The sequence below is a fragment of the Homo sapiens genome, chromosome 8 (genome assembly GCF_000001405.40).
Source record: "Homo sapiens chromosome 8, GRCh38.p14 Primary Assembly".
NCBI lineage: Eukaryota > Metazoa > Chordata > Mammalia > Primates > Hominidae > Homo > Homo sapiens.
The window spans coordinates 101,926,833-101,948,195 of NC_000008.11; the positions used below are offsets into that span (position 1 = coordinate 101,926,833).

The 21,363-nt window shown below is 41.0% G+C and overlaps 1 protein-coding gene across 17 annotated transcripts in view, besides 1 other annotated feature; it reads right to left on the reverse strand.

Moving 5' to 3' along the window:
* Positions 1-21,363, reverse strand: part of NCALD (neurocalcin delta) — a 438,366-nt gene that overhangs the window by 240,291 nt on the left and 176,712 nt on the right. The gene's annotated exons all lie outside the window — the stretch shown is intronic.
* Positions 8,987-9,488: an enhancer, noted in NCBI's record as "NANOG hESC enhancer chr8:102948047-102948548 (GRCh37/hg19 assembly coordinates)". NCBI's record gives its function as "activates a minimal SCP1, AML or CMV promoter by ChIP-STARR-seq in naive H9 embryonic stem cells {active_cell/tissue: H9 hESC(naive)}" and the evidence as "EXISTENCE:reporter gene assay evidence [ECO:0000049][PMID:30033119]".

A 21,363-nucleotide genomic window follows, 5' to 3' on the forward strand; every position in this document is an offset into this window, starting at 1 on the left:
GAAGTGGCAGTAGTTTCTGTGGCCACTTTCCAGGAATGCTTTTCTCATGTTCTGAATTGTGTTATGGGTTATTATTTTTTGTTCCTATACCATACAAAGAAATTAGAACATCACTGTCCTATTGAGAAGAGCTAAAACAGATGCCTGAAACAAGTGGCCCCAGAGTCTCTCTTCAATTAACAGACACTGGCCCTGTTCTCCCGTGGCTTCCTCCTTCACTCTGAGTATTGCTGGTTTGCAGTCACTTCCCACCAGGGACCAGATCCCAGCAAGTTTATTTACCCACTAGCATGATCCTCACCTTGCCATCCTCCATCACCCACCCTCACACCTCCTCCCACCTCATTTTACCTCTTCACCAGTTTATTATTCATTCATTATCAGTCATTCAGAAAACATCTCAGGGCCTGAATGTGTCAGCCTCTGTGCCAGGCACCAGGAGTGTCCCACCAACAGAAGAGCAAAGTCCCCGATCTGGTGGAGCGTACAGTCTAGATGGGGGGACGGATGGAATACAAGTAAACAAACATATCCATACAACAAGCCTGCACTGTTGTCAGGGAGCTGCAGCAGAGAAGTCAGACCTGAGATGCAGCGTAGCAGAGAAGGGTCTGCGTGTGATGAAGGTGTCTGAGCAAGGATCTGCTAAGTGCAGGAGTGAAGGGTAAGGAGGAGCCAACCTCGCCAAGAGTCAGGGAAGAGCAATCTAAGCAGAGGGAACAGCCCGTGCAAAGGCCCAGAGATGGGAAAGGGTGTGGCACGGTCCGACATCCGCGCAGTGGGTACAGAAGAAAGTGGCATGAGATGAGGCCCACTGAGGCAAGAAGTGGAAAAATTAGGCTAGAGAAGATTGCAAGGAGCTCCTTCCAATGGGTCTATGAAATTCAGGCAGTTGTGTCTACCCAGTGTCCTGTCCTTGTGGAAGTGTCCTCCCAGCTCCGTGTGGCTTTGGTGGGGCATCCAATCCCAGACTTCAGCTGCTCAGACCACAGGGGAGAGCCCAAACCCAAGCCAAAGTCAGGGCCTGGGTGGAATGTGGATTTCATTCTCAGTGCAACCTGTTCTCCTATTACTCTCAGGGAAAACATATTTTTAAAAAACCTAAAAATAACAGAAGAGAAAATATTTTAACAAATATTTTCATGTCTATTTAATGCCTAAATGACTGATGAAGTGCTAAACTCTTGCAACATTGGAAATCTGTCAGGACTGCAATTTGAATGACAAGCTGGGAACTAACTGAAAAATGATCCTGCAAAAAAGCCTCACACAGCAACTGTATTATAAATCCTTAACAGAACTTAATTAAATAACTAATTAAGATTGTCCAATCTCTCAATGATCGCGCGATGTAGAGATTATGATGCTCATCTTCTAGGAAAATGAAGCTTGAAAAGTTCCCACAGCTAACCCGGTAGAAGAACTAGGATTTATGGCCAGGCTTGTCCCACTCCATATTTAGTCTTAACTATTATGCTGTACTTTCCCCTAATTCCATTTAGTACAATACCATCTTGTTTGACTAATATTACTCAAAAATAATGTATGCTACAGAAGTAAGCCTCTTGGACCACAGAGATCCTGTTAAAATGAAACCTTTAAAACATACACCTCTTTGGATGATAATTTTTCAACTTTTTGCCTTTTATATACCAACTCCACACATTAACCATTATGAACATCAGAGATTCCATGATGCTGCCCTCAGGTACTCTGAAGTGCAAATACCTGCTCGCCTCTAAATCAAATGGGCTCAGGCTATGGACACTTTTTTTTTTTTTTAAGTTTTCTGTGTTTTATTTTTTTCCTTTCTCTTCATTAACTTTCAGGAGTTTTTTCCTTTATTGATCTCCTGTTTATTCATTTTCAGGACTTCTTACAACTTTCAGTGTGGTTGCCTCTTGCAACTTTTCTCTAAACGTTAATGCTCTAGTTGTTCTTTAGTTTAGATTGAGAAACCTGATGATTTAGCATTTTGCATTTATTAGCATTTGTAGTGAAAGATGAATAAAGAGAAGCTGAGTCAACAGTATTAGATACAAAAACACTGTGCTGTAAAATATATTGTGTACTGGGAGGACTGACTTGAAAGGGAGGCGTGCAGGGTGTCAGGGGAGGCGAGGGGTGAGCCTGAATGGTGAGGGGAGGCCAGATCAGGTAGAGACAGTGTTATCCAGAAGGCCTTCCAAGTGGGCAGCTCAGAACTCAGGACACACTCTTTTGTGGGTATTCCCATATTATGTGATAGTCGGGCTGTCAAATCATTCTGTAAAATCTTATTTAATCCATCATATACATAAAATGTTTTCCCCTCGATTCTGAGAATGTGAACAGGAGCAAGAAATCAAGAACCCAGGTGAATATTGCAAAGTTCTAGCCCCTAAAGAAGGGGAAGAAGGAGGAGGAGGAGGAGGAGGAGGAAGGGATGGAGGAAGGGATGGAGGGAGGGAGGGAGGGAGGGAGGGAGGAAGAAAGGAAGGAAGGAAGGAAGCAAGCAAGGAAGGAAGGGAGGGAGGAAGGAAAGGGAATGGAAGGGAGGAGGGAAGGGAGGAGGGAGGGAGGCATGGAGGGAGGGAGGGAGGAAGGGAGGGAGGAAGGAAGGAAGGAAAGGAGGGAGGGAGGGAGGAAGGAAGAAAAGAAGGAAGGAAGGGAGGGAGGGAAAGGAAAGGGAAGGGAAGGAGGGAGGGGGGAGGGAGGGAGGGAAAGGAAAGGGGAGGGGGGAGGGAGGAAGGAAGGGAAGGAGGGAGGGAAGGAAGGAGGCAGGGAGGGAGGGAGGAAGGAAGGAAAGGAGGGAGGGAAGGAAGGAGGCAGGGAGGGAGGGAGGAAGGAAGGAAAGGAAGGAGGGAGGGAGGGAAGGAGGCAGGGAGGGAGGGGGATGAGAGGGCAGATCCAGGTTTGTGGGGTCTGAGCTTATACAAATACAGACCTCTTTATTAAAAATACAAATTATGGCCTGTAATTCCAGTACTTTGGGAGGCCTAGGCAGGCAGATCACTTGAGGTCAGGTGTTCGAGACCAGCCTGACCAACATGGTAAAACCCCATCTCTACTAAAAATACAAAAATACAACCACATCGCCCAGTGTGGTGATGGGTGCCTGTAATCCCAACTGCTCAGGAGGCTGAGGCAGAAGAATCACTTGAGCCTGGGAGATGGAGGTTACAGTGAGCCAAGATCACACCACTGCACTCCAGCCTGGGTGACAGAGTGAGACTCCATCTCAAAAAATAAAAAACAAAAATATATAAAAATTATGCTTACAAAATTAGATACAAATATGAGTATTTTTTAAAATGAGAAAATTACAAAAATTATAAATTTTAAAAACTAAAGAATAGCTTAGCATCACAATAATCCAGAAAAATAACATATTTTTATTAACTACCAGATGCATGTATACATGGAAGTGACTGTAAATTACATAAATATATCTCATTAAACCCAAACAAAATGTATCCCCAATTCAGCTTCCCTTTAGTCTGATTCCCAAAATGCCTCTGGCTACTCCAACGCCATCTCCCTGCTGATCAATGCTACAGAGGGTAAGGGTAAGTCCTACAGGAAGAGACAATGATCTTAACCAATCATAGGCAAAATCTCTTTATTTTGAAAATTTTATAAAAATGTGGCTATGTGAGCTCAATGCCAGGGTGCCTTGAGCTCCTGAGCTCACAGTGCCTCCGGCGCAGCACTTTTCCCTCCTCCAGCTCCTTGACCACAGGGTCCTCTTCCTCCCTCGTCACCCTAAATGGCAAGCAGGAGAAGGCCTATGCTCCCAGTTTAATAAATTAGGAGAGCTCACATCTCCTGTTCCACACAACCCATCAACACAGAGCGCACACAATGGAAACTGCAGCAGAATGAGTAAGCAACATTCATCCCACTGGAATTGTATGGGGTCTTGGCTCTAAAATACTTCCCAGAGATAGCAATCCAGATAGCAGCATTCAAACCAATCCTTTGCCAGCATGAAGTGAGTGTGTGAAAGTTGTGGGGGAGTGTGTTCCTCTGCAGCCAGCACATCAAGTGCCTGGGTCATTACCTTGACCTTTTCTATTCCAGGGAAGTTGTGGCATTGCTAGTCTGTGAGTTGTTATTTGTTTCTATGGCAAGGCTTATACAATTCCTTTTTTGGAGGGGTTTGCTAGTGATTCTGCTTTCTGAACTAGAAGCTCCTTATCAGTACCATATAAGCAGAGGCGAAAGCTGTGTCACCAGCACCACTGTCCCTGGTGTCACTAAGCCTGATGTCCGCCAGCGTGGACCACTCCATTGACTTTCTTTATGGGCCTTGGGGTCACCAAGCCTATAGTGAATTAAGTACTCATTATCTGGGTTCCAAGAAGCAGGGAACAAGCAAACATCCACCCCAGGTGAAAAAGCCATTTGCTGCCAAATGGTGATTTGGACTTTACAAAAGAACATGGTTAATGATCTGAGGCAGTTCACTTATCATTCATTTGAGCAAGAAACCAAGGCTCCTCCAATAGACAAATGTCTGGCCTTTTTCACAAGGCTGGTGAGGACATACTGGTGGCCCTAAAATAACCCTGTTAACAACATCAGATATACTGTGTATCTGATGCCACAAATTCTACCAAGGCAATACCAAGGACACAGAGTTGGCAGAGCAGAAAGAAGCCTGGACTGGACACTCAAGTAAAACGTGTGCATGACTCCATGTCCTGAGCCCTGAAATAGTTGCAGACATCATTTAGAAAGAAATATGAACACAGGCGACATATTTCCTATAACAGATGTCTCAAGTGTCAATCACCTTCCTTTTTTTTTTCCTGTTTCTTTTCCTTTCTCGTATTTTCTTTGTTTGTTTGGGTTTGGTTTTGGTTTGTTTTGCTTTTGCTGTCCTTTTCATTTTCCTTTTAACACAACTACTCTCATGTATGGGTGTAGTCCTGTCCCAGTGGCCCTGCAAAGCACTCTATACACATTATCTCTTTTATTTCACAAAGCAGTCCTAAAAAGGAGATGCTGTTGTTCTCATTTTACATATGGAAAAACAGAGGCTTGGCTAGGGAGCAAATGTATTAATGGGGTGTCTCACTCATAGCCCAGGCCCTTAGGAGCCCATATCTGTCTTACTCATAGCCCAGGCCCTTAGGAGCACTTGTCATCTTTCCCTTCAGAAGCAGGTGGCCATCACAGCCCATCATTGCCACACTACCTACCATTAGAGAAGGGATTCTTCTGTAGCCCTCACCTTGAGCTCCCTAAGCTACATCCCACCTACCCCTCTGTTTTCAGTGGCAGTTGGAAGGCAGATCGAGGTGAGTGCAGGCTTCTCTAGGGCTGACAGTGCTCTGCCAGTTGTGTCCAGGGCATGTTCTGTCTTTCAGCCTCCAGGCCCCCTCCCCTGCCACAGGGACTTGCAGTCCACAGATGCAGCCAGGCAGCAGAGGAGTAAAGCCCCTGAGGACAGTCCTCAGCCAATGCTGAGTGGTAACTGATGGATAAATACCCACCTCCTAACCCCCAGATACAACTCTGGGAGACATTCTGCATGTCCCCCAAAATAATCACATCCCCATTCGCCTACCCAAATTCATTATTAAAAATCTGCTTCCTGGGGAAACCAAACTAAGCCATCTCCCAATAACCCTTTCCATTCCCCCTGCCTGTTTCAGCAGCACTTCTGCTTCAGGGTGTGTGTCTTTTATATGGCCAAGGCAAGCTGTGCAAATGAAGGACTTTCTTTCCATTTTTTTCCCTTAGCCAATTATTTCCCTTAACCACAGCTTTCTTTAAAGAAAAGAATACAAGAGTACACGAGAGAAAAAAAAGAAAGAAGCAAGGTCTAATCATTCTTCTCTTCCTTTGCGCAGAGTCCTTAAACCCAGCTGCCTCACATCTCCATTAAAAGGAGAGCTCATTAGAGGTACTGAGCACTGAACAAAGCCCCCTGCTTTGTTAAGGTGGGGAAAAGACTCCTGAGCACACTGTAATAAAACAAACTTAAATGACAACAATCTAACAAGTTAGTTAGCTAGAGAATATTATTTTGCTGTCAAGTATATATAAATTATAGGCAGTTCAGATAAATGACTTTAAAGTTTATTACTTTTACACACACACACAAAATTTAGAATTTTTCCCCTTCACATTGTTTGTTTTCTATTACCTAGAAATAGCATTGATAGCAACAATTTTTCTTCCCGGATGCACACATATGCACATATACACATACCTGCTAAAAATCAAATATTCTGGATCTCCTTTTGCTAAAAGTAGTTTGCTTGTGTTTCTACCCTGACCTAGGATCATGGTCTACCCTAACCTAGGATCGCTGTTGTAGGCTGAATAATGGCCTTTCAAATATGTCCATGTCCTAGTCCCCAGAATCTGTCAATGTTACCTTGTAGGAGAAAAGGGACATTGCAGATGTGATTAAGTTAAGGATCTTGAGATGGAGAGATTATCTGAAAGCACCCACTGTAATCACAATGTTCCCGAGTCAGGAGCCATCAGAGTCAGGGGAGAAAGCACTGGGATGATGGAAGCGGAGATTGGCAGGATGCAGCCAGGAGCTGAGGCATGCCAGCAGCCTCTAGAAGCTGACAAAGGCCAGGAAATGAATTCTCCCTTGAGAGCCTCCAGAAGAAACCAGCCCTGCCACCTTCATTTTAGCCCAGTAAGACTGATTTCAGACTTTTGACCTCCAGAACTGCAAGAGAATAAGTCTGTGCTGTTTGAAGCCTCTAAGTTTGTGGTGATTTGTTACAGCAGCAATAGGAAACTGATACAACTACCTCTCATCCTGCAACTGCCTTTCCATGCTGACCTCACCTCCACCCAACTTTGCTCTTCCCTGACAACCTACACATTATATTCAAATGAGGGATTTGGGAGTACCCAGTCCTCATCGATCCTAAAGGACCTGTCTTGGGGGTTGGAGGCCTCAAGGCAGCAGAATCTCTGTGCCATGAGGACAAGAAATGATTGCAAGCAATGGGATAGGATGTGCAGGAATAATCTGGAGTTCAGGACAGTGGTAGGGGCTACAGAAAAGGATTTTGGAATCATTAGCACGTAAGTGATGGTTGAAGTTAACCCACAGAGAGACTTCATAAATATATGATAGTGGCTTGGATAGGACTAGGAAGCAGATCAAGGGGATTTGATATGCAAATGACATGTATATCAGAGATACTACAGAAAGTGTGATCCAGAGCATAATTTTTAAAACTTTTTCTTGAGCTGAAATACAATCTCAGTTAGATGATGAAGAGGATTACATATCATTCAGAGGAAAGCAAGCCTCAAAAACAACCTCTTGAGTTCTGTACTAGGTGCAGGGATACAAAAATAGTCATGGTTTCTGTCCTTAAGAAGACTGCAGATAATTTTTATTACCACATAATGTGTGATATGACAATGGTGTCAACCAGTGTACTCAAGGGGCAAACAGAGGAGACAGTCCAACCTAAGGACTGAAGAAAACCTTCCTGGAGGGAGTAATAGCTAAATGGGTTTTGAAAAATGAGTGGGGAGAGCAAGAAAGGGAAGAATTCCAGGTACACGAAATAGCACAAAGTCAGAGGGGCTAGTGAGTGGATAAGCTCCCGCAAGAAGATTAGGCATAGTGAGAAGAATGGAGAAATAAAAACAGAGCCCTGGAGGAGAGTAAGGGTTAAAGAACAAGCAGAAGAAAAGAGACCCATAAATTAGTCCAGAAAGAAAAAGAGGAAAGTCTAGAGAAAATGGCATCATGGAATCTAAGAGTCGGGAGCTTCAGGAAGGAGGGAGTTCAGTAAGACAAGTACTGAAAGGGACAATAGAAAGAAAGCCATGAGTGAATTTCCTGAGAGCAGTTTTATTAGATATGACAGGAAAAAAAAACAGATTGCAAAAAACCTAGAACGAAATGGAAGTGAAGAAGTGGAGGCAGCGTGCTGCACTTTCAAGTACCTTGGTTGAGAAGGAAATAAGAACCATGCCTACTTGTCAGGTTTTTAAACTTTAAAGACAAAAATAGGTTTTACAAGCTGCCACTAAAAAGAAGAGATAAGATTTAAATACACAAAGAGAATATAAGAATCAACTTGGGCCATCCTCCTCAGACTTAGGCAAAACTAAAATAAGTGAAAATATCACCAAAGAACAGTGGGGTAAGCTGGCTGGGAAGAAGAAAAACATTGTAAAAGTAGGAGACTATATATAAAAAACTTGTCAAAGAAGTCTCAAATTAAAGATCACAAGAAGAATTAAAGACATCTGAAAGCAGATGCGCTAGAGAAAGAAGTGGGAATAGTCAGAAAAATTTAAGACGAAGGAGTAGCCTCTACATCAAAAAGGCAAAATTAATAAGAGAAAATGTGAAAATTACAAGGCAAAAAAAAAATATAGGTGAGAAATTTCAGACGATTAATATATAATGATGAAGTAGGAGACAGGGGAATAGGTACTCCAAAAACCTGGTTTCCACAGTTAATCCCGAATTTTCCAAACAATTCCTAAGCACTGACCTAAAGGATAAGATTTTATTTACATCATAAGGAAATTTGATAGCAATAGACATGAAAATGAAAGTTGAGTTTAAGTAAGATGTTAAAATATTCTTTTTATAAAATGAAGCAGCCAGATAAGATTTTGATGGCTCTATCCTATAACTAAAGAGTTTACAGTTTACAACAGAAAGCAAATGGTTAAAATGGTAAAGGCAAATAAAGAACAAAAAGGGAGTAATCCGTGATGTCCAAAGCTGTTGAAAAGTTCAGCAGGATGAGATCTAAGAACTGATCATTGGAGTTTGGTAATGTCAAGGTCACTGGGGGCCTTGACAAAGTCTTTGGTGGAGCAGTGGGGAGGTAATTCTGAGTGGAGTGGGTTGCAGAGAGAAAGTGGGGAGAGGAAGTGGATATGATGAGTCTGGACAACTCTTTTGCCATTAAGGGGAATAAGGAAATTAAGCTATAGCTTAGAGGATCAAGAGATTCTTTTTTTTTTTTTTTTTTTTTTAAAGATGGAAGACATTATACTATGTAAGATGATGGAAATGATGCAGGGAAGACAGGAAAATCAATGAAGCAGTGGTGATTGGCAGCCAATTGCAGAAGCCAAGTCCTAAGTAAGAGAACAGATGAGATGCGGAGCACACGATTAGTGCTGGCTTTAGTAAGAGCAGGGATGATTCATCCTAGTTAATAGGAGTGAAGAGTGCACAGGTCCAGATGCAGGGAGGTGAATAGATTTTGTAGCAGGAATCTGTGGAAGTTCTTTGATTGCCTCATCTCCATGAGGGAGGCAAGGCCATCAGCTGAGAGTGAGGAGGGGGTTGGTTTGAGGTTTGGTAGAGAAGAAGGGTGCAACAATTATCTATAAGAATGAGAGTAAATTGACTAAGGAGATTTAGTAGGATTCTAACATGGCATTTTCTACCTGACATTTGCAGTCATGAATTTTCAGTAAGACCAATCAGCAAGTTTGCATATTCTTCTCCAACCACATTCAGTCTCTCTTAGATTTAATAATCATGGTTAGGACTTGTCAGGTGAGGAGGCGAGGTACTGAAGGCATATGCAAAGCAGTGACTACTAGAATGGAACCATGAAGAGAAATGGGGAAATGAAGGGAGAAACAGCCAAGAGGTGGCAAAGTCAATGGATCAGAGGTCCTAGAAGGCAAAAAATGTTGCAGTGGAGTTATTTAGAAATATAGAAGGTAATAATCAGAAAGTAGAATGCTAGCAACAGATTATAGAAGGTATGTAGTTATTGGTAAGAGCAAAGTCAGGGTAGAGGTTCTTAACCCTATTAGATTTGCTAATATATTAGAATATTCAGATCCTTCCCAAAACAAACTGAGTCAAAATCTCTGATGGTGAGGTCTGGACATTAGTATGTTTTTATTTGCTTGTTTGTTTGTTTACCAGTGCTCTGGGAGATTCTAATATGCAGCCAAGGTTGAGAACCGCTGGTCTAGGGTAGGTTCATGTTTAAAAATCTACCACGATATAGTGTTTTAAGCTCAGAATATTGTGTGGCCAGTTAAAACCCAACTCTCTTCCACATGACCTCCTGCAGGACCTTGTCTCTTGTATCCTATCTGGGAAACTGAGTTTTAAAAATCTAATAAACATAGGCATTTAATTTTTTCCTCTTAATTCCTTCAATCTTACTGACTTAAAGTTTGGCTTATTGAGATAATTTTAAATTTTGTTTCATAATATTTGCTACATCTTCCAACTTCTGGCAATCACAGAGATGACTAGCAAGCTTTCTATGTTTTCTTGTGAATGAATAAACCATTAAATGATCCTAACCAAGAAGAACCTAACAAAGAAGTGATGCTTTAAAACAGACATCATTCTAGGGATCCAGTGCTCTTGGGGTCACATCTCTTTTTTAACTTTTATTTTAGGTTCGGGGGTAACATGTGAAGGTTTGTTATATAGGTAAACTCATGTCATGGGGGTTTGTTGTATAGATTATTTCATCACCCAGGTACTAAGCCCAGTAGCCAATAGTTATTTTTTCTGCTCCTCTCCCTCCTCCCACCCTCCACCCTCAAGTAGAACCCAGTGTCTGTTGTTCCTTTCCTTGTGTTCATGAGTTATCATAATTCAGCTCCACTTATAAGTAAAAATGTGGCATTTGTTTTTCTGTTACTGCATTAGTTTGCTAAGGATAATGGCCTCCAGGTCCATCCATGTTCCTGCAAAAAACATGACCTTGTTCTTTTTTGTGGCTGCATAGTATCCCATGGTGTATCACATTTTCTGTATCCAATCTGTCATTGATGGGCATATAGTTCATTTCCATTTCTTTGTTATTGTGAATGGTGCTGCAATGAAATTCACAGGGTCACACCTTTTGACCAGCCAAGAATTTTCTCATTTCTTATTCATTCCACAAATATTTGAGGATTGCTGGCGATGGGCTAGGTCCTGTATGAAGTCATGGGATGCAAATGTGATCAAGACAGGCATGGTTTCTGCCCTCATGGAGCTTACACTCTTGTAGGGAGACAGTCAATAAATAAACAAATGAATCAGCCAAATAATTAGATTAGTGGTATGTGATAAAGGAAAACAAACAGAATGTTGTCCTGGAGAATATTGAGAAAGATAACTGAAAGCTATGGTCTCCAAGTCACGTACTAGCCCCAAATTCTCAGTTGTCCATAGGTTACTATGAAAGACTTAGGAAAGATGTTTCTGAAATCCACAGACTCCAAGTCTAGTGCATGCTCCTGCTCTAACCATGATGCGCCATGACTTGTTCTTTATGAGCCCCTACTGCTTCTCTCTCTTTCCAAAAATTCCGATAAACCTTCTGCTTAATAATCCATCCTAAAATTTAATGAACTCAATAAGCAATTGTTTCAAGAATCCATTATTTTCTCATTTTGACATAATATTAGCCTCATTAGACTTCTGGTTGTAATGATAAATCACCACTGTTTATTTTATATGATACATATACATATTTAAAAACTCATTTTATGTGCTATATTGCATTTAACCTTTATAATACTCTTATGAATACACTCTTATGCCCACTTAAGAGATAGTGAAGCCATAGCTCAGAGGTTTGGAAGTCCTCCACGGTTACATAGTACTTCAGTGGAGCCATGGAGATGTGAATCCAGACAGTCTGACTCAGAGCCAGAGCTCTTAACAATTATGTTCTACAGAGTCTAGTAACAGTCTTGTTCTCCAAGATAAACAGCTACAGTTTTCAGATCACATATATCGGGATAATAATGCGAAGACAAGATCAAAATTGTAGCATCAGGATGGGTAGGATAATCTCAGTCTTATTATTTCTAATTATTTCTTAATAATGCAACAAACAAAGAAATAATGGTAAAAAAAAAAACTTGTAAGTGGCAATAGAAAGATGCAACAAATAATTTCATCCAAGAAAATGTTTTAATAATGATAATTACCTATGGTGTATCCTCAAGCCTGAAGCTGAGGTCAGACCCTCAACCTGTACTGAGCACAGGGACATGACCCCATGTATCCCTGATAATTGCAAAGTGATCACCAGCATCTGTCTGGTGTTGTCAAAGGGCTTGCCCTCCTTGTATTCACGTTTGGAAATCAAACAATTAACTTTTGCCTCATGTGTATTCATTCAAAGGATGGAATATAATGTGCAATAAATGTCATTATTAAATACCTTAAGTCTGAGATCTATCAGTGCTTGGATCTGATTGGAATTTCCATATAAAGGAAGAAAGCACATTTTCACTATTAGGAAAGGCAAGATTTATCGCTGTAGCCTGAGGCCAAAAGAAAAAGTCTTCTACTTTAGTCAATGAGTACCCACAGTCCTTGATGTCTTTCAATAAATGTCCAATAAATTAATGAAGGGATAGGAAATAGGAATTGCACTGATAGTATAAATTAGTACAAGTGAATGAAGATCTTTCCCACAGCTTTGGTGACCAATGGACAGCACTTTACCTCTATTCAATGCTCTATTTTTTCAATGCTAGAGAAATTCACAGATTCAGATTCATTGAATGAAAAGCATATCTTAATTGATAAGATGTCTGAAATATGGACTAGTTTTAATGAGGCACACCTTTGTAAATCACACAGAAGCCAATTGTACATGAACCCGTGGCAAGCATTACTAAGTAGGTTGTCTCCCCAATCCTTTCAATGACTTAGATAATGATTGTTTTTAATTAATTCTTTCTCTTTATCTGCAAATTGGAGTTTCTAAAAGCTTTAAGTAGCTTAACTTTTCTTCTTATCTCCATTCTGGTTGACAGAAAAATTTGCTTGGCTAATCCTTTCTTCTTAGTAAAAAAAATAAATAAATAAACTTCAGCTCAACCCTATCCAAATAGCTACAAATTCTGATGTAATTAATGAAACTTTATAATAATTGAATTCAGTGTACTGATCAACTTATTACATAACAGTCACATTGCATTGACAAACCTGGCTAAGAGAAATGAGCATTGCGGAATGCCTACCATTGGTGAGGTATTTCCCATCTGATAATGTCTTTTGATCCTCCCAACAATTCCATGAGGCCACTACTATTAAGAGATTCTGAGAAGTTAAATAATAGTCTTAAGATCAGACAGCTAGTAAGTGGCCATGTGATCATAGGTCAGTCTTCCTTTAAAGCCCATGGGTGCTTTTCTCATCATACTATAAAAGACCAAAATCTCTGAGAGCCAACTCAGCATATAAGAGCGGCTTTTAAGAGAGTGGCAATTAGCCTGCCTTTATTCCTATTTGTTTTTATCATGTATGTTCTTTTCAAGGTTAAAGTTGTACTTCTTTAAACATTTGTCCACATCTTGAGCATAGTGAATTTTGTTCCATTTGCAATCTTGAGAAGAGGAGTACCTAGAAGAATATTCTGCATGCAGCATGTAGAAATGAATCTCAAATACTTTTAGAAAGGTAATTATTAGAGCAAAAATTCAAGGAAAATTGATTCCCTTAGGTGGCAATAGGAAGAAACTGGGTTAGATATTGATAAGAACTTACTGACTAAGGGAGATAAACACTAAAGCAAACCAAGAAAATTTAGCGACACCCTTATGTGGACATATATAACAATCAGTAATTCATCATCCGTCAGAGGAAATGTGTATGGAAGCAAAAGAGGAGTCCATTTTAGATAGCCTCAACATGTCCCCATCAACTGATGACACCAACAGGTAAAGCAGAAATATACCAAACAGCACTAGATATTTGAATCTGGATAGAGCTCCCACATCTGTCTAATCTTCAGTGTGATGGCTTTTTTTCTCCCACTGAGCCTATACAAACAGCAGCTGGCACAGCAGGTTTTGGGAAACTCAGAGGGCAAACACAGTACAATGAACACAGCTGTTAAGCCAACAGACAACCTAAACCCAGAAGGAGACAAGCTCTAGGTTTGGACAAAAGACACTATAAAGCATCACAACATATTGGATAAACTGCACAGAGCCTAACTGGCCAGCCAATGAATGAAAAAAACAGAATAAAAATGAGTGGTTTCTAAGCTAAAGGTGCATCACACAGAACAGCTAAATCTGCCCTTGCTACAGCTAACACATTTAGATGGCTCCACAGGCTTCCAAACAGGACCTTGAGTTGATAGAACCCACCGTCAAAGCTATAAAATAATTTTAAGATAAAATTAAGAATGCTTATTAAAAGGATTTTTTAAAGAGGGTAAATACCAACTTTTCACCAAGGAACAAACCCAACACAGCTAAGATTTTAATCTAACCTGAAATAATAACAAATGTAATGGAGACATTTCATCAGATAAATTTCCCTCTGCAGTCTAGGCTATAAGACATTTTAAACAACAAAAGTAGTCTATGTTTCTCTATCATAGACCAGTGGTCCCCAACCTTTATGACACCAGGCACTTGTTTCCTGGAAGACAATTTTTCCATGGACCAGGGTGGGAGGACATGGTTTCGGGATGAAACTGTTCCACCTCAGATAATCAGATCATCAAGCATTAGATTCTCATAAGGAGCATTCAACCTAGATCCCTCGCATGCAAGTTCACAATAGAGCTCACGCTCCTATGAGAATCCAAGGCCACTGCGGATCTGACAGGAGGCAGAGCTCAGGTGGTAATGCTGGTTCACCTGCTGCTCACCTCTTCCTGGGCAACCTGGTTCCTAACAGGCCATGAACCAGTACCAGTACCAGCCCGGGACCCCTGACACAGACTACTTTGAATCAGAAATCTAATATAACATTCATTCATTCACTATATGTATATAAACTAGTGTTTATGATTCTTCTCATGCATAACAAACTTATGAACAAGATTCCAAAAATAACTTCTGTGCATCTTTCCAACTAATATGACAAACAAGGACTCATATTGGGTATTTTGTGGTACATTTGTCATATGTAGGCACCTGCAAAAATGTTTATGGGGGAGTAGGGATGACAGGCTGACATGGGGTATTAACTAAAAGCACCATCAGTCTTAACTACAGCAATTTCGAAAATAAGATTGTTTGATATCAGCTATTTTACAGTCATTAATATCTCACAAGCACAAGCCAAATGGCTTCAAATTAGAAAAAGGTATATGTCTGATTGCATAAGGAAAACCAAAACCAGTAAGTGGTAAATTATGATTTCTTTTCTTTTTCTTTTTTCCCCAGGATTTTGGTTAGCCATCACCTGAATGACTCATCTTTTTCTCAGAGGAAACAGTTCTTCATGGTGGTAGAATTCCATTTGGAGTCAAGGGTATGAAACCTACTTTGAAACCAAGCAAACACTTTATTTAAAGTGAAGTGAAAAGGAGAGAATCCAAGTCTCACTTAACATCATTCATTTCCAACACTGTATATAGCTTGTCTAGAGAATAGGTGACACCCATTCTCGGAACTAGAACTCATGTTCTGACTGCACTTGGTAACCCATATGAGACAATGAGGAGAGGCAGATGCACTGGAAGAGTCTTAACCCGTCTGCTGCTGGCCTCTCGCTGCACCAAGAACTTCACAGACAAGTTATTCAACACCAATCTTGAGGCCAAAAACCTTTCTGTGCTATGGCAACTTTTCATTTTAATGAATATCAAATATTTACTAATGATCTATTCTTGCCTGTGAAGAGATCACAGTCCAATAGAGAAAACAGAATCCAAACAATGATAATTCAGTATGAAAAATACTATTAGAGGTATAATCAATATACTAGGAGAACACAGAGGAGGCACAACCCCTCTCTGGCATGTTGGGCAATAACAAATAAAATGCAACAGAACATAAGAACTACCCCAATTACATAGGAAGAGCTGAGTTTGGGGCAAGCATAATCCCAGATGATTACGTGTTCTACCTAACTAATTCTTACAACTCAGTGAGATAGAGAATAATAAAGTATAACATTCATTAACTTATTTAATTCTCACAACAAATTTGTATACATCTTACTACCCCCATTTTATAAATGGAGAAACTGAGGCATTGAGAGGTTCATTAGCTTTCCCAAGGTCACATAGCAAGTAGGTGGTTGAGCCAGCATTTGAAACTTAACAATCTGGCTCTAACATTCACATGCTTACCCACTGTGACATACAGCTTCATCCAATTACCATCTCATATTTAAAGATGAAGAAGTTAAGAGCCAGCTGATGAGTGGTGGACTAGATATGACATGCAAGTGGCTGACTGCAGAGCCTCCTTCCCTAAGCACCACCTCATGAGAAGGGGCATTTGAGCTGGGACTGGAAAGATGAGAATTTTGCAAGATGAAGGCAAAGGGGAAGTGTGTTCTGGAGCGGGAAGCAAAGAGTGTGTACAGAGAACCAAACATTGTTGGGGGGTTCTGGCATTGAGAAATGGTTTGCAATGGCACAGTAAGTACTCTGGGGTTGCCGCACTCACTGCTCTTGAAGCAGGTGGCAAAAAAGAGACTCCCCATCCAGGGAGAACAGGCACTCGAAGAGAAAAGCATCCCTGCCACCCACCAAGGCTGCCATCCTAGAACTTTACCAACAACCAGTTGCTATCATTTTTTAAAACTCAACTTTTAGCATAATCTAAAATGCCAGAAAACAATCCTTTCCTATTTGCAGGAGGTTTTACAGGGCTGATTAGGACTAAAAAGGCATTATTCCCCGTTCCTCTTATCAGGAACCTCATTGACAGAGGCATTTACTTTCTATGAATACAAATGACTATGGCTATTGTGATTAGAAGCAGAAGAAAACCAGCTCATGAACCAGACCCTGAACACAATATCTGGGGGCATGACAGATATCCCAGTCACTCCTGGAGCAGGGGAGAGAGCTGAAGAGGCATCACGTTAAGAAGACGCACCAGTGCTGGGCACATTTGGTGAATCTAATTAACAGGGGCAACTTGTCGGCTGGGCGCCGTAGCTCACGCCTGTAATCCCAGCACTTTGGGAGGCCGAGGCGGGCGGATCGCAAGGTCAGGAGATCGAGACCATCCTGGCTAACATGATGAAACCCCGTCTCTACTAAAAATACAAAAAAATTAGCCAGGCATGGTGGCGGGCTCCTGTAGTCTCAGTTACTCGGGAGGCTGAGGCAGGAGAATCACTTGAACTAGGGAGGCGGAGGTTGCAGTGAGCCGAGATCACACCGCTGCACTCCAGCCTGGGCAACAGAGGGAGTCTGTGTCTCAAAAAAACAAAACAAAAAACAAAAAACAAACAAACAAACAAAAAAAAACAGAAAAAAACAGGGGCAACTTGTCCTGCTTACTCTAATAGTAAGCATTAGCTAGTCCCTTCCAGCAGCCTAGTATTGATATTATTATCCTTCATATGGGAGGATGGTCACCACTGGAGTGGAAGTGAGGATGACCATGTACCAGACAAGCCATGCAAGGTGGCTTCCAATCAGACTGTTTCCTCTGAGGAGTTCGTCTCCTATCACCCTTTTTGAGAGAGTCTTTGTCACGGGCAAGTCCAGCCTGCTTTGTAGCTAACTGGACCAAAGACAGGTGCCCCACCTAAAGGTAGTTTTCACAGGCTGCTTATGTGTACCCTGTCCAATATCAGAGGGTGACACCATCAGATTTTCTCTGGAAGAGTTTGAATGCAAGACCTATAAAGAACAGTAGAAAGGAGAGTGGCAGAGAAGCAAGAAAACAGAGAGATGCTGTAAACTGAAGTCAAGGAACAGCAGGTGCCTGCTCGACTGGAGTATGTGTGAGCAGCATGAACTTGATCACAAGTGCCTCTCTCTGCAAAGAGAAAATCACTAATAGTAATGGCACATGCTGGCTTTTCTCCTGCCTTCCAGTGCCCCAGAAGGCTGACCTCTATGCCCTATACCTGTATCACCTGAGATCCCTTTTCCCATTGGGCAGTGCCAATTGGAGACCATGCAGGAGATGAAAGAGCAGGAGGAGAGTTTACAGTATTTCTTCCTATTCCCTCTTTGCCTGACAATGCGCTTCCAATGGTGATGGCAGCCCTCTTTAACTATGGCTCCCATCCATGGCCCTGTCCACACCTCCATTCTCCCAGGCTCCAGCATTTCCTGTCAGGCCCAAGAGTAACAACAGCTTCTCACTATTGCTAGTCCCCGCGTGCTTCAGCAACCCATCTGGTTCTTCTGCTCTTGCCCACACCTCTATAAATAATCCCTTCATTAAATTATCTTTCAAATCCCAGCCTGTAGCCTTTCCTTTTAGTTGGGGCTGATGTGTGACACAACACAAAAGAGAGAGCAACTGACATAAAATCAGTGGAATGACAGCTGGCCTATCAGAGCAATGTTCGTGTCCTACGTGACATCTGTTAAGAGGCCTTCTTATTCTTCTTGTTCCTCTGTTACAATAAATCAGTAACCCCAGCAAGACTCTCTGGAGAGCCTCAGTAATGTATGCAAAAAGCCAGGGAGCCACTGCATGACTTTCCTCATTATGGTGTTCATTCAACCAGCCACTTTTCCAACAAGCATTTATTGAGCCTCTACTATGTGCCAGGCATCATGCTAGGCTCTGGGGATAGAAGATCAAAATAGACACAGTCCCTGCCCTCATGGACCTTACAATGGTGGGTGGAGATGAAGGTGGGGGACGAGGAGAGGAAGGGGCTAAAATGCGGAATGGAGCAGAGAGTAAACAAGTAAAGCAAACAAGCTTATAAACACAAACCGTGACAAGTTATTCAAAGGAAAATGGAAAAGAGGTAAGAGAATAATAGAAGGTCTCATGTAGAACTTCATCTCTATTTAATGACTGGAGTTGCTATCAGCCAAACTCTCCATCTTATGGATGAAGAGATTGATACAGAGGAAATTAAACCACAGTGAGTACGGAAAAGAGCATGAGATAAGCTGTTTAGGTAAAAATGCTTATGCTGGCACTGCGAACCCATGTCACCTCCAACAATGCATCTTCTACTGAAGACAGACAATGCTTGGTTTTGATAGATGTGTCACGTGGAAGACAAGTTTTATAATGGCCAACGTTAGTCCAGACATTGTCCTCAATCCCTGCTTTCAAAGGTTCCTAAGCTTCTAGAGAACCTATCTCCTGCCAGGCAAGAATTTTAGTGTTTGAAGAGTTGGTAAACGAGGCTAAATGGTGTGCCAGTCACACCCTTTGTTCCATTTAGAAAAAAGTTCTCAATGCTCTCCTTTTTCTGCAGGCACAAAGCATTTAGAAACGGGCTCCAGAAGCCCTCCCACCTCATCTATGATTGTCTCCTCACCATATTATCGCTTCCCTAGGAGTACAAGCATCCCAGTTAATAAATAGGGCATCAGAATTTCTGAAAAAGAGATGGAGGAAAATCTGCCTTTTACTTTCTTTTGGTTCCCAATGTCTTGAATAAAGCAAAGCTCCGTCTTCAGTTTGCCTTCTCACTTAGTGATCTATGAAAAAAAAGAGCATGAATTTTTGGGGGTCTTACTTTGAGAATGGGGTAATTTACAATCTTTGATGTTTTTATATAACATTATTTAAATATTCAAGAAATGATTATTGAACTCCTGTTATGTGCCAGGCATTGTGCTAATCTCAGGGGATACAGTGATGAGCTAGACCTACATGGAGCATGCCTTTAAGGAATTTACAATGTAGCCAGAGAGACAGGCAAGTAAGAAACCAATTGCAACAAATTATAGCCAGTGTCACATAAAGGTAAAACTGAGTCTTCAAAAAGTTTATGGAAAATGCATATTATTTTAAAAACTATAAATGGAGCTCAATTTTTTTGCACCAAAATAAACTCATACTAACTTTTTATAACATGTCAGAACGGTATCTAGTTTGAGTCACTAAAAAGGATAAGACATCATTTTCAATTGAGCCCTATCAGAGCAACAGGAATTCTACTAATATTGCAGCAAGAACAAACATCAAATTTATGATGAATCTTGGGTGGAGGAATGATGAAATCGTTCACACTTTATGAAAAGTTTATGGGGACAATGTCCCAAAGAAACCAGCAGTTTACAAATGAATAATACATTTTAAGAAGGAATGAAATAGCATTGAAAACAAAGCCCTCAGTGGAGACTATCCACATCAATTAGCAAAAAAAAAAAAAAAAAAAAAAAAAATCTTGTTTGTGCCCTAATTGAAGAGGACTGATAATTAATGACCCAAATAATAGCCAACACCATAGACATCTCAACTGGTTCAGCTTGCACAATTCTGATTAAAAAATTAAAGTTGAGCAAATTTTCCACTTAGTGGGTGCCAAAACTATTGCACCCAGGTCAGCTGCTGCAGAGAAGAGCAGAGCTTTCAATGGAAATTTTAAACAAGTGGGATCAAGATCTTGAAGCATTTCCTCAAAGAATTGTAACAGGAGATGGAACATGGCTTTATCAGCACAATCCTGAAGACAAAGCACAATCAAAGCAATGGCTACTGAGATGTGGAAGTGGTCCAGTCAAAACAAAAGTAGACCAGTCAAGAGCAAAAGTCATGGCAACAGTTTTTTGGGGATGCTTGAGGAATTTTGCTTGTTGACTTTCTGAAGGGCCAAAGAATGATAACATCTGCTTATTATGCGAGTGTTTTGAGAAAGTTAGCCAAAGCTTTGGCAGAAAAATGCCTGGGAAAACTTCACCAGAGAGTCCTCCATCATGACAATGTTCCCACCCATTTCTCTCATCAAATAAGGGCAATTTTGTGAGAGTTTTCATGTGAAATCATTAGGCATTCACCTTACAGTCATGATCTGGCTCCTTCTGACTTCTTTCTGTTCCCTAATTTAAAAAAATTATTAAAGAGAACCCATTTTCAGTTAATAATGTAAAAAAGACTGCATTGACATGGATAAATTCCCAGGATCCTCAGTTATTTGGGGATGGACTAAACAGCTGATATCATCACTTACAAAGTTGTATTGACCTTGATGAAGTTTATGCTGAGAAATCAAGTTTATATTTTTTATTTTTCTCTTTTAATTCCATTTTTCCATGAACTTTCTGAAGCCCTCTTGTATAAGGCACTTAACAAAGGCTAGAAAAATCAAGGAAGACTTCTCAGAAAAGGTTTCCACTTTCAGTTAATGCCTGAAGGATGACAAGGAGCTAGACATAAAAGTGTAGTGGGTGAGGGATTAAGACTGTTCTAGGCAAAAGCAACAGCTTCACGTGCAAAGGTCCTGAGGCAAGAGAGAGGTGCATAGAGATTCTGAAAGAAGTTTACAATGGCTGTAGAAAAAAGATGTAAGAAAAACTGTGTTGAAATCTGAGGGTAAGCAGTAGGATGTGGCCAGGTTATGGCCAGTCTTGGAAGCCAAGTTAAGGAAGCTGGCCATTATCTAAGGTCATTAGGAGTCCTTGAAGAGTTCTAAGCAGGAAAATATGTGATGGGTTTTATATCTTGAAAAAGTCCTGTTGACTGCAATGTGAGATAACTACTGAGGGAGGGAAACTGTTTGGGGAAGACGTTGCAATAATTTAGATA